Source organism: Homo sapiens, chromosome 15 (genome assembly GCF_000001405.40).
Source record: "Homo sapiens chromosome 15, GRCh38.p14 Primary Assembly".
Taxonomy (NCBI): domain Eukaryota; kingdom Metazoa; phylum Chordata; class Mammalia; order Primates; family Hominidae; genus Homo; species Homo sapiens.
Window position 1 is genome coordinate 64,172,142 of NC_000015.10, and position 13,454 is coordinate 64,185,595.

Below are 13,454 nucleotides of genomic sequence, written 5' to 3' on the forward strand. Positions count from 1 at the left end.
CAGTGTCTGCCAGAAAAGCCAAAGGAAATAGCTGCTTGATTTCAATCTGCAGTCATCCTACCTAATTATCAAGATGGTGCAGGCTAGGCAGGGCTGAAATAGGCATTACTGGAAGGAGGGTGAAGAAGGCTCATAGTTTAGCACCCAACCCAGATGCCTCACCTTATCAAGAGTCATGACTGGGGGTCCTCAGGGCTGCATAAAAATAGTCTACATTGTCTACTCCTTGATACTGAGGGCACAATTATTTAATTCAACTCACTGGCCAGAGGGCAGGGAGGCTAAAATAAGGCAAACAAATCCCATGATAAGTATGATGTCTGGAACTCTAGGAGGATCTCAGGATGTTACCAATGAAGGATTAAGGATTCTCTCCATCCCCCTCTCTGTCCTCACCCACCGAAGTAGGCAGGAGAGGCCCTGACTCTAATAATGACGGTGAGCCACATCTCCTGACATCAGTACAGCTCCCCTTTTCATTTGCAGGGGACCACTGTCACAGCCCAAGAGCTGACCATCAGGATGCTCTCACTCCCCAGTTTAGGGAGTGAGATACAGGGCACTCCCCAATTTAGCTTCCTGAGACTGCTGCTGTGCCAGATGGGGTTTATGAACTGGCCTTGTTTAGGATGGAGGTGGGATTGGCTCCTTTATGAGTCCTCCAAGTTCTGCTTCCTGGGGACTAGCCACAGTTCTGGCACATCCCAAAGTCTGAGTATCCCCCATCCTCACTCCTGTCTTTAGAACAGGAAGTATCACTCTTGCTCAGGCAGTCCAGAAGCAGGTGATGAGTGCTGTGGCAAGGTGTACAAGATATGTCCTTTCTGGGGAGCTGACACATGGGGAATGAGAATGAAAGGGACAGAAGGTGGTGGATGAGTCAAAGATGCCGGATGATGGAGGGCAGTAAAGTTGGAAGCATAGCTCAGACTTGCTAGATCCTTGAAAGAAAACTTTTCTGAAAAAACTATCTTTGAGTCTCTTGCCTAATTATTGCAGGTGTAAAGCCAGCAATATTCATATGGAAATAAAGACTATTACTTACTTCCCATACCCCTAGGTATTCCATTGTAGCCAAGATTCCCTCTCTTTTTAGTTAGACTCTTTGGCATTCCTACATCCAATGGACTAGTTATAAAAAACTGGAGAAAGTTTCTAAGAATGCAGAAACATTTACACAGACCATGATGGGCTTTAATCATATCTGAATGAATCAAACATGAAAATTTTAGAAATAGGACTTTCTTAAGAGGGTCTTTGGAAAGATTTTCTCTGAAAGTATCAATGACATTTGTGAGGTACTATTAATGGGTGCAAATATAATCACTAAGCAAAGTGTCATATGTATTTGGAAACTAAATTCTTTTAAATAAAAGTGACCAACATTTTTGATTGTTAAAAATAATCCTCAGTGGAAACCCTGGATAAGAATTCAAGAACAAATGGTGTTTTTTGGTGTTTTTCTTTCTTTTCTTTTCTTTTTTTTTTTTTTTTTTTTTGAGACTGAGTCTCACTCTGTCGCTCAGGCTGGAGTGCAATGGCGCCATCTCTGCTCACTGCAACCTCCACCTACAGGGCTCAAGTGATTCTCCTGCCTCAGCCTCCTGAGTAGCTGGTGCCCACCAGCACACCCGGCTAATTTTTGTATTTTTAGTAGAGACGGGGTTTCACCATGTTGGCCGGGCTGGTCTGGAACTCCTGACCTCAAATGATCCACCTGCCTCGGCCTCCCAAAGTGCTGGGATTACAGGTGTAAGCCACTATGCCTGGCCCAAATAGTGTTTTTCTATACGTAATGCTTTAGAAATGGACATTTTCCAAGTTGAATGTCCTGAAATTAACAATAAAAGAGGCAAATTAAATCTCTATTTCAATAGACTTACCTCTTTTCTTCTGAATCATGATTTTCACAGGTATTACTAACTTTTAAGTCAACTTCTATTCTTAATCTTTTTGGAGGATGCTAAGATGATGATTTTGTGTTTTTAAGAAAGCAATAAAAAAAGTTTACAATACTGTTTAGGTCCATTTCAAATTGTACAATGACTTCTCTTTTACCTCCTCCAAGGCAAGCCATAAGAATTAATGCCTGCTTACAAGCATATCATAACTGGATGTGCAATGCTGAACCCACCTAACTAAAAGGAAGTGTGAGTTATGGTTCAAAGGAGTTGGAATATTTCAAATTTAGAGCCCTGGATTTATCTTTGCTAGTTATTGTAGTTAAAGCTTCAGCAGTGGCAAAGGCTTTTAATGATTCTACCTACAAGAAAGCAGGCCCCACAATCTGTTCTTCAACTCTTTGGTGTCTGTGGTGACTACTAGCAACAGGATCTATTAAACTGGGTCAGACTCTAGACCAAGTCCACTGATTGACTTTCAGATGTGTTCCTCTCAGAAGAGAATGAAGGCAGGTGGTGGACACCTCATGGCTTAGGTTTCCTTTCAGTTGATTCTTTGACTGTTTAGATGACAAGAAGTTCTCAACATGCTGGAGTCAAAATCGATCCAAATCTCCCTACTCTCAAAGCCATCTAGTGCTCTTACCCCAGGCCTCTGACCCACTACCTTTTCCATATGGCATTCTTACTATGTCCTGGCCCTCTCTCTTCAGCTATTCCCTTGCTATGTTCCTTTTCTCTGCCATATGTGTACATTCTTCCTTTCTTCTAATACTTAACTCAAGTCCTACAGTGTTTACAAGGACTTCTTTGACCATCCTGTCCATGGTGACCTCTTGGCCCCTCAGCCTCTCAAGGGCAGTAATCTCAATGTCCTGCAGAACTCCTTATCCTTTCATGTGTATGTCTGATCTCTTCAGCTAGATGGTACCCAAGCTCTTTGGGGCAAATTTTGTAACCCCACCCCCCACCCCACTAGAGTTCCAAGCACAGGGTTGGATAAGCATATAGCAGGCCCTCAAGTATCTGCAGTAAGGATCATGTGACTGACACCTCACAGGAAAAAATAGACCACCACAATGTCGGATTACACAGACACATGTTTGCAAAACAAATAGCCAAAGGTATTCTTTGATCCCCTAAGACTATAAATCTGACCTCCACAAAACCCAGTTGTTTTCTTTAATACATTCCTGTCCCTGAGGAAGCCCCTGTAGGCAATCTGGCTTAGATAGTTAGGGTTCAGAAACCAGTGCCCAACCCAGTCACTGAAGACAAATAGAAACATGGCAGTCATGAAACTAGCAGGCTGTTACCTCCATATAGAGCATGACTTTATGCGTGCGGACAATGTGGGAGAGTTAAAATTCCAGACTGCAACAGACCAACAAGTTCAGGAGTACCTGGAAGGTCACAGGCAAGAGAGCAGGGGAAGGGGCTATGTCTTGTAGCAAGAATGTTCCTCACCACACATGGATTCTTGAGGGCTTCTCCTTCCATAAACTCCATGTTATTCCTAAAAATACATTCCAGGAACCTTTTCCAGGAGTGGAAAAGACAGGCTCCAATATATCAATTAGCTGAGTCAGTCCTTGGCCTACTAAACTCTCACATAGGAATAAAGAAAAAGACAATAAACAAAAACAAAACAACTCTCAAAACAACAACAACAAAACATCCACCTCTCCCTGAAGGAGCTCCCCCTTTTTTGAGGTTGCTACTCTACAGAGGGAAGAGCCAGCTGAATCAAAAAGTCAGATTTTCCCAAAGCAGCCAATTTCCAGGTTAGAGACCACATTGCAGAATGTGAGATTATCCAGCAACAACTCACTATCCTTGCGGCTGTGAGTAAACACAACTGCTACATAAAAACTGATACAGTAATCTTGCCCTTTTACTTCTGTCCCTCTCCATATCTGGTTGTATTAATTTGGGAGAAAATTTACTCAGCTAAAAATAGATAATTTTGGATACTGTGGGATACTGTTATGGCAGGAGGAGACAGCGATAAGATGGGTTTGAAAGAAGGAATAGATTAATTCCTGGGTACAGGCCTGCCCCATCCCCACCTTATGGATCTAGATCCCCAGTCAGGGTGGTTATGGCACAAGGAGTCCTATGGAAGCTATTTAATGTTCCTAAGGCATTTTGTTTGGCTTTGCCAGTCCCAGCCTAGTCTGGTCCACTCCCCTTGCAATGGACTGGAGAGAGGGACTCACCACAGGTTGAGCATTTTCAGGCAGCTACAGAGTATATAAAGAGAAAAACACAGAAAGGAAGAGAGAGAAAGAGAGAGATATTAGTCCACAGAGGTGAAATGGAAGCGACTCCCTGTGAGCCATGCAAACATGCAGTATGTGTCTGTGTTTAGTTTCTTCTTCTGTCAAGGTAGGCTGAGTAGGCCCAGGCCACTTGGTCCCCACGTTAAAGTGGAGGGTTCGGACAGGAGCCTGACAGAAGCATCAAGGTGGGAGCTGGATCTCAGGGGTAAGGCAAAACAGAAAGAGTTGGTAGGAGCTCCAGGGTGGGCTTTCCTGGGCAACTTCTAGGAAGGCAGCAGGGGAAAGAGCAAATGACCCTGCCTGTAAGAACTCAATCAAGCACCAGGGGTGAACCATTTTGGTTCCCATATGAAGTCTTACTGTGCAATATTAAGCTAGCCTCTCAAATATTCTGAGGGAAAAAGAAAGTCCCTAGCCTTTGTGCAAGTCCAACATGCCTGATCAAAGCAGCTAGCAGTTAGCTCTTCCTCTAGAGAGGGAGAAAAGGTTTAAGCGACACTTACTTTATCTTATTAGAAGATGAATCAGAGGAAGGAGGGTCACTGCTCTGTATTAAGGTATAACTACCAGAGAAGGACCTAAATTCTACTCTTGTTAATGCTCAGGAGAAATGAGGTTCACATTTGTTAAATTATAGCTAAAGTCTGGATAACCAAAAATTCCTGTATTCTTACTGTAACAAAAATCAACCAAAAAGCTGCCTGCCCTCACCACCCTTTAAACCATAAACAAGGACATATGTCCTGGAGCTAGAGAAAAAGGGAATTCACATGTTCGTTTTGTACACAGAACAAAACCTAAGACCCTGTTATTTCTTTCCACCTTTACACTAAACAAGCTGGGTGAGGAACCCAAAATCAAAAGCCTGAAAGTGAAGGTTTCACATGGTCTCCCCAGTACTGAGGTGTGTCTCAATATAAGCATCATCCCCTTCTACCCCACAAGCAGGCTGCATGAACAAATGGCATCACAGCTGCGTGCAATGAGGGGCTGTTTGGAACACCTCGTGCTTCTCTAGCTGTGACTTCTTCCCATGAAAATGATCAACCAGGTGGACACAGGGCTACCCTTTCCTTGCCCCCACACGCAAAGGCCAAGAAAAATAACACATGGCTGGGCCCTGACAGTTCTCTGGGCAAGATGGATTGATAGCCCATGAAATCACTAAATGCCCTAAGCCATGAGCTTCGGGATGACATCTGGTCAAATATAATTTCTCCCCTATGCTTTCTACATCTTTTAGAAGGTCCAAACCTGAAGCTGGTGGCAAAGAGGCACATTTGTCCTTTTTGCTAAATGACAAGACTTTAAACTCTCCTTACATTCTAGAGGTTAGATTATACCAATACAGAATACACCAGATTGAAATCTCTGTGTGAATGAGCCCATATCTTACACACAGAACACAAATACCACACTCACATACACAATTAGTATACACATTTACCAAAATGAGATGAGATGAATGGGTTCAAAAGATAAACCTGTATAGGGCATAACATAAAACTAAAGCCCATTTGATTACTGCATTCAAAGTATACTATTAAATCCAAAGCTAAACTTCTAGCCTTCAAAGTAATAGCCACAAAGGTGAATTGAGAATGGGGTGGGAGCTGGGAACAGGTACGGCCATCCTTCAAGCTCTGACAATGTTTGAATCAGACCACGCTTGGTACAGTGGTTCTCAACATTGGCTACATGTTAGAATGACCTGAACTTTTAAAATTCCTGATGCTCGGGCCACATTTCAATAAATTAAATCAGAATGCCTGAGGCCAGACTCAGACATTTGTATTTTCTACCATGCCCCAAATGACTCCAAAGTGCAGCCAGTTGAGAGCCCAGAGGGTGGGAGTAACATATTGTTTATTTAAGATAATGTAATTTTGTATGGAAATCGAAAAACTGTGAGTACCATTAATATCTCCAAAGTCCCTGAGAATAGGAGCATGTTTCCTTATTAAAATGGCCTTTTCCTGGCATAACCAGCATAACCCTCACCCCCTTATATATCAGTGCCTTATACAAGCTGGGAGAAGAGCTCTGAAGCTGCCTACAGTTAGCAGGGGCTCAACAAAAGACAGTCAAGTCATCCTCATTTACTTTTGATGTATTGGGTAGGAATCCTCAAGCCCTGGTTTTCCAAGCAAAAATTTTCTTTTTTTTTTTTTTTTTTGAGATGGAGTCTCGCTCTGTCGCCAGGATGGAGTGCGGTGGCACAATCTCGACTCACCACAACCCCTGCCTCCTGGGTTCAAGCGATTCTCCTGCCTCAGCCTCCTGAGTAGCTGGGACTACAGACGCATGCCACCACACCCAGCTAATTTTTATATTTTTAGTAGAGACGGGGTTTCACCATGTTGGCCAGGATGGTCTCAATCTCTTGACCTTGTGATCCTCCTGCCTCAGCTTCCCAAAGTGCTGGGATTACACGTGTGAGCCACTGCACCTGGCCAAAAACTTTTGTGTGTGTGTGTGTGACAGGGTCGCACCTATCACCCAGATTGGAGTACAGTGACATGACCATAGCTCACTGCAGCCTGAACCTTCCAAGTACCTAGGACTACAGGTGCATACCACCATGCCCAGCTAATTTTTAATTTTTTTATAGAGTTGGGGTCTCATTATGTTGCCCAGGCTGGTCTCAAACCTCTAGACTCAAGTGATCCTCCTGCCTCAGCCTCCCAAAGTGCTAAGATTACAGGCATGAAGCACCACACCTGGCTAGAAAGGACTTCTTGAAGGTAAAATGAGTTCATCAAATAGACTGGCAGGGCTGGGCACAGTGGTTCATGCCTGTAATTTCATGACTTTGGGAGACTGAGGCAGGAGGATCACTTGAGCTTGGGGAATAGAGGCTGCAGTTAGCCATGATCGTGCCACTGCACTCCAGCTTTGGCAACAGAGAGAGACCCTGTCTCAAAAAATAAATAAATAAAAAAGATGGGCAGGAGACCAGGGGAATAGGCAGGAAAGACAACAATACAAAGTACATCTGGAAGGTGGAAGAATGCAGGTCTCAGTGGCATCTCACTAACTTACATTTAGAGGTATAAGAGTGTTCTGGCTTGTATTAAGCTACCTGGGGGCTCATGAGACTACTTAGGTACAATATCACTATAAATACGTTGTCTGCTTCAGAAAACAAGACCCTGGGATATCCTGAAGGTTCTCAAAGGGCTCACAAGAAAGGTCCTCCATATCAGGGATAGCAGCAGTTACTGACTCATGGTGTCTCTATCTCTCCCTACCTGGTATCTTCTTGAAGTCTAAATCTGGATCTAAATTTGGGATGGGGAAAAAAGTGGTAGAAATGCTGCTTTTGCAGCAGAATTGGCAGTTATCTCACCTTCCACCCCAGATTTTAAGAGTTTAAACACAGACCATGCAGCGCACCAAGGGGCTGGTGGTATGGGTGGGGCAAGACATACACATGCAAGAGAAGCAGAAAAGGGTGTGGGGCAACCTCCTTACCCTCCTGAGATGAGTATGACTTCCATTCTTTTCCCACACTCTCATTCACAGATGCAGACTATAATATTTTTCTTGCCTGACTTAGTCTCTCTGAAGCCAGAATCATTTGAGAGTGAACAAAATGGCCCTGAACTCCTTGTTCCATGATTGTACATCCAGTTGCTAGCCCACAATCAGAAATCGAATGCTATTCAGCATGGCCCATGGTTTAACAGCAGATTTTTCTCTATATCCCATATAGAGCAAGAAGCTCCACAGCCCCAAGAAGCTCATGGCTACTATCCACTGTAGCCCTGATAACATGATTCTTTCGGTTCACTATGTCTTTTTCATGTGAACTAGAAAAATGTGACTGTCTTCCCCGAAATCACAGCTAAAGAAGGGCAGTAGCAGCCTTAAGGTACCATGCAAAAATTAAAACAGTTAAGGAAGAAAGCTGTGGTTACAAGCATGAGAAATCCAGTCTGAGACGAGCAGCACACAGAGAGGAAGAGACAGAAAAGATTTTTCAACCCATGACTTAAGAGCCCCCTTGAAAGATGTACGTACTTAGCTTCCTCCACTACCTCCACCTCGGCATGAGCTGTGATTGGTGCATTGGAGTGGGCTCCCGTGGGATCATCAACATTCAGCTCTCCATTGGTTGAGCTAACCACCTGAAACAGAAAGACAGAAGTGTGTGACAGGCACCATGGCAACAGAAATCTCTTGCCAGCGCCAGACAGGGTCGCTAAACAGGCAGTGTCTGGAATGTTTGTTTTCCTGGGTTAAGGGATCAATTTAGGGAAGGTTCCCAGGCCCATATCATGCGAGAACACTAATATCAATGATGTAATCATATAATGATGATAATAACTTACATACTGAGTGCCTACTCCGTGTCTGACACTCTGCTACATTGTGTGTGTAAATCTAATCCTTACAAAAATCTTATGAAATAGGTTTTTTTACAGATGGAAACACTAACAAATGACTTAACCAAGGTTTAGAGTTAATATCTGTGAATTTCCATGAGGAAAATTTGTTCTAAACACAGATTCTTTCATATTGCAAAAACACACACATTACTTTGTTAAGTTAAAAATAACTGCATGGCTGACTTCTAAAGGTAAAATCACTTGGCTCCCTTGAATGTGATGGGTGAAGTCTAGTTCTCTCAGTTTATTATGCTATAATGATATAGACTTAGTGCTGATGTTGAAAGAAAAAGTTCTAAAAAGGAAGTCAACAGTGGGTACCAGAAACTATAAATAATCACACTTTCCTTCAGAAATTTCCTCATGGCTTTGAGCACTGGTTCGAAGTTACAAATAACAAGATTGTCACATCCTCTCCGACAAGAGGGAAGATGGTAAAAAAACACTCTCCCTTGGAAAGCCAGTCTTATTTCAACGATCTTTATTTCAGGTTCACTGCCATCCCAGTTCTCACTGATGGTCCCCGAAATGTAAGTGAAGGCTCTCACTCCTGTCATCTGGTTAATGTGGACCCAATCAGGCTTCTCTTGCATGTGTAGCTGCTTCTGCCACCTGGTTTCATTTCCAGCACATTATTCCTGTTTATGTGGGTGCTGGGAAGTGGGAAAAGGGGCCTCACTGCTGGACAAAACACTCTGCTTGTTAAAGACCTTGGCTGAAACATGGGAGAGAACACAAAATAGGATAAACAATTTGGATATCATATGCCCTTGGATAAGTACTTCCATCTATTTGAGATTGTTTCTTATAGGTTGATGAGAGAATTATACAAGAAAATGTATGAGACTGTCTAGTATAATACCTAGCATAAATAAGGGAAGCAGCATAGTGTAGAAATTGCCCTAATCAGCCCTAAGTTTGAACCCCAGCTCCACCAGTTATTTGCTGTGGGTCTTTGGGCAAGATCCTCAGTCTATGCCTAAGCTTCCTAATCTCTAAAATGGGAGAACAATGCTGCTTACCTAATGGTGTTTACTGTGCAGACAACCCACAGAAAGTGCTTAGCCCAGTGGCATGAGACATGGTAACAGCTCAATAAGTGGTCATCTTACTGTTATTCTCTCTCCGTAACTGTTTATTCTTATCTGCCTCTAGCTCAGGGGTCCTCACCAGCAGTTAATCCACAAAAATTTCCTGAATAGTCATAAAGAGGAGGGTGGGAGGAAATATATAGTACACGTAGCCTTTGGGACAGATAGGGTGAATACTACTTACTAGCAAGCTATATCCGCTATTATTTCTAAACAAGAAATAATTATTGTTCTCATTAGTAACCCGTTTTTTTTTTTTTTTTTTTTTTTTTTGAGAGAGAGAGTCTTGCTCTGTTGCCCAGGCTGGAGTGCAGTGGCATGATCTCGGCTCACTGCAACCTCTACCTCCCAGGTTCAAGCGGTTCTCCTGCCTCAGTCTCCTGAGTAGCTGAGATTACAGGTATGTGCCACCACACCTGGCTGTTTGTTTGTTTTGTTTTGTTTTTAGTAGAGATGGGGTTTCACCATGTTGGCCAGGCTAGTCTCGAACTCCTGACCTCAGGTTGTCCACCTGCCTTGGCTTCCCGAAGTGCTGGGATTACAGGCACGAGCCACTGTGCCCGGCCTCCAGCTGAATCTTTATAGAAGACTTTTATTTGTTTAAACACAGGGAGACTTAAAGATTAAAACGGATTAAAAGAGACTAAGACATTGTAAAAGACTGATGAGGCATATTGCATTGGTTAATGTGAGGCATGAACCTTGATTAAATCCTGGACACTACAATATTAATTCTGGGGACAACTGGAATTAGGTGGAATGTGACATGAACTATATATTAGATATTATGAAATTAACTTTCTTAGAATGTCTTCGTTCTTAGAAGATACAGGCTGAAGTACTTTGGGATAAGATATAATGATGTCTGCAACTTACTTTCATATGGTTTAGCAAGCAAACACACACACACACTTTCACTCATAGATTTAAAGCAAATATGGCAAAATCTTAATAATTCGTTCAGCAAGGTTAAAGATATACAAGAGTTTATTGCATTTCCCTCCCGATTTCTCTGTAGAGTTGAAATTTTCAATACAAAAAGTTGAAGAAAAACCAGCAAAACCAAAAAGTTGAGGAAGGAGGGTATATGGATTGGAAAACCACAGCTCCTCACTCTAATGCTATCCTGTTAATTTCCTCAGTGCTTCATTTGCTTCTTGTGGACATATTCTGGCTGCATACCAGTGATAATACTGGTAAACTCATTCTGTGAGCACAAAGGTTACAGGAAACATAGTAAGTTTCTAGTGGACAATTCAGGAACTAGACAAGACGTTAAATAAAATGTCTTGGCTTCTACTCACACGAATGAAACATTAGTAAGCATCACCACTGAGAATTACCTGGTGACTCTGGGTCATGGGGCCTGCTCACAGCGTTTCACATGGCTTATACTTCCTAAATTCTCCTCGCTACAAATTGCCACTTGGGCCATAAGCACTGTCCTTGGGCAATCTAAGGAATAAGAGGTTATCCCCATTTTACAGACTAGACATCTTGTCTGTATCAATGAGCATGTGGTCTCAAATGAATGAGACATAAACAGAGCCTCCATTCTCTACTTTTAAACTTAATTGTACCAAAAACATACCTAAGACTTAAAGGCTACACATCTGGGCCTTCACAGCATCCGTTTAATTATTTCAGGTTGGAGGTCTGGTTTGTCAAACTACTGAACTGCAGGCAGTGGAACAAACACTGTGTAAGTGATGGAAGAGTTGGATTCTAGGCCTTGTTCTACCATTAACATCCTCTGTGAGCCCTATTTTCTAATTCCATAAGACAAGGCAAATGACCATGATCCTATCAACTTCATAAATATGAAGGGAATTAAATACAATGATGTTTAGAAAATAAATTTTAAAGAATTAAAAAGAATCTTATGAATAACAAATTACTGACATTTTAAACAATATTATCTTTATGTTTTTCTTTTTTTTTTTTTTGGAGATGGAATCTCGCTCTGTTGCCCAGGCTGCAGTGCAGTGGCGTGATCTTGGCTCACTGCAACCTCTACCTCCCGAGTTCAAGCGATTCTCCTGCCTCAGCCTCCCGAGTAGCTGGGACTACAGGTATGCACCACCACATCTGGCTAATTTTTGTATTTTTTAGTAGAAATGGGGTTTCACCATATTGGCCAGGCTGGTCTTGAACTCCTGACCCCAAGTGATCTGGCTGGTATTTTTTTTCTATTAAATTTTTAGTATAACTTTATGGCCGGGTGCAGTGGCTCACGCCTGTAATCCCAGCATTTTGGGAGGCCGAGGTGGGCGGATCACGAGGTCAGGAGATTAAGACCATCCTGACTAACACGGTGAAACTCCGTCTCTACTAAAAATACAAAAAATTAGCCGGGCATGGTGGCACACGTCTGTAGTCCCAGCTACTCGGGAGGCTGAGGCAGGAGAATGGTGTGAACCTGGGAGGCGTAGCTTGCAGTGAGCAGAGATCATGCCACTGCACTCCAGCCTGGGTGACAGAGCGAGACTTCGTCTCAAAAAATAAATAAATAAATAAATAAATTTTTAGTATAATGTCATTATAAAAGATAATAAAAAATAAGCTTCATTATAAAAAGCTTTATTTGCGGCCAGGCACGGTGGCTCGTGCCTGTAATCCTAGCACTTTGGGAGGCCGAGACAGGTGGATTGCCTGAGCTCAGCAGTTCGAGACCAGCCTGGACAACATGGTGAAACCCCGTCTCTATTAAAATACAAAAAATCAGCTGGGCGTGGTGGCGGGCGCCTGTAATCCCAGCTACTCAGGAGGCTGAGGCACAAGAATTGCTTGAACCTGGGAGGCGGACGTTGTAGTGAGCCAAGATCATGCCACTGCACCCCAGCCTGGACAACAATGCGAAACTCTGTCTCAAAAAAAAAAAAAAAAAAGATTTGCATACTTCAAATAGACATTTATTTTGCTTTAATCACTATTAAAATTAATCGCTCATTACTCTGGCTATACCAAACAAGACCAATTAATATCTTAAAGCATTACTCATGAGAAAGACTAAGATGAAGGACTGTTTTGACGTTCAGACCTGGTAATATCCCTTTTAGGAGTCTCAATAATTTGGGTTATTAGTTTCATTTCTCAAAATGTCACTGTGAGGAGAAATCAGAGCTGTGTACCAAAGGAAACAGTACTTCAACTCATGTGTCATTCTAAGTCTTATGTCCTTACTTGGTCCTGAACATTTCTAAAAGCTCCCTAAACATTTTAATTCAGACAACTTTAGAGGAATCTTTTTGAAAGGGAAAATATATTATCTTCTTGCATTTAGGCCTTCCACACATAAAAGATCTGTGGAAATACTGGAAGGATGAGAACCATGGGGGTCTGCCCATTAAATATGTTGGAACAGGAGCCTTCATGTGCCTTATCAGAGCAAACTTTTCTTGTCTTAGATTCTGCACTCCCTCCCAGGGTCATGGTGTCTGCAAGTCACCCAGGTTAGGCCAAACATGATTTTACTACATTACCTCTGGCAAGTGAGACAACTCAGAAATATGTGGACATCTGTTGTGTTAGGAAAGTATTGTTAATCTGGTTTGCAAAAGGTATGCTAAAAACAGTGTCAGCCCAAAGAGGCCAAAGTAATGAGGAGCAGCAGAGCTGAACATAGTATTAGGTAAATGGTGTAACTGCCTGTCCTCTATCTAAGTGCCAAGGAAGCTGGTAAAACTTAGTTTATAGGGAGTAGAGGAAGTTGCATGTTTCAAAAGAGTTGCCAAAGACACCTCAGTTGGATCCATTTCTAAAGGACACTTTACGAGGCCAGGCACGGTG

At 42.5% G+C, this 13,454-nt stretch overlaps 1 protein-coding gene across 4 annotated transcripts in view; it reads right to left on the reverse strand.

The window, feature by feature from the left end:
• Positions 1-13,454, reverse strand: part of CSNK1G1 (casein kinase 1 gamma 1) — a 190,649-nt gene that overhangs the window by 6,617 nt on the left and 170,578 nt on the right. For all 4 annotated transcript variants that reach the window (NM_001329606.2, NM_001329607.2, NM_022048.5 and 1 more), the window contains one exon: positions 8,207-8,313. In NM_001329606.2, the coding sequence (NP_001316535.1) occupies positions 8,207-8,313 (107 nt within the window). The remainder of the gene's footprint in view (positions 1-8,206; positions 8,314-13,454) is intronic.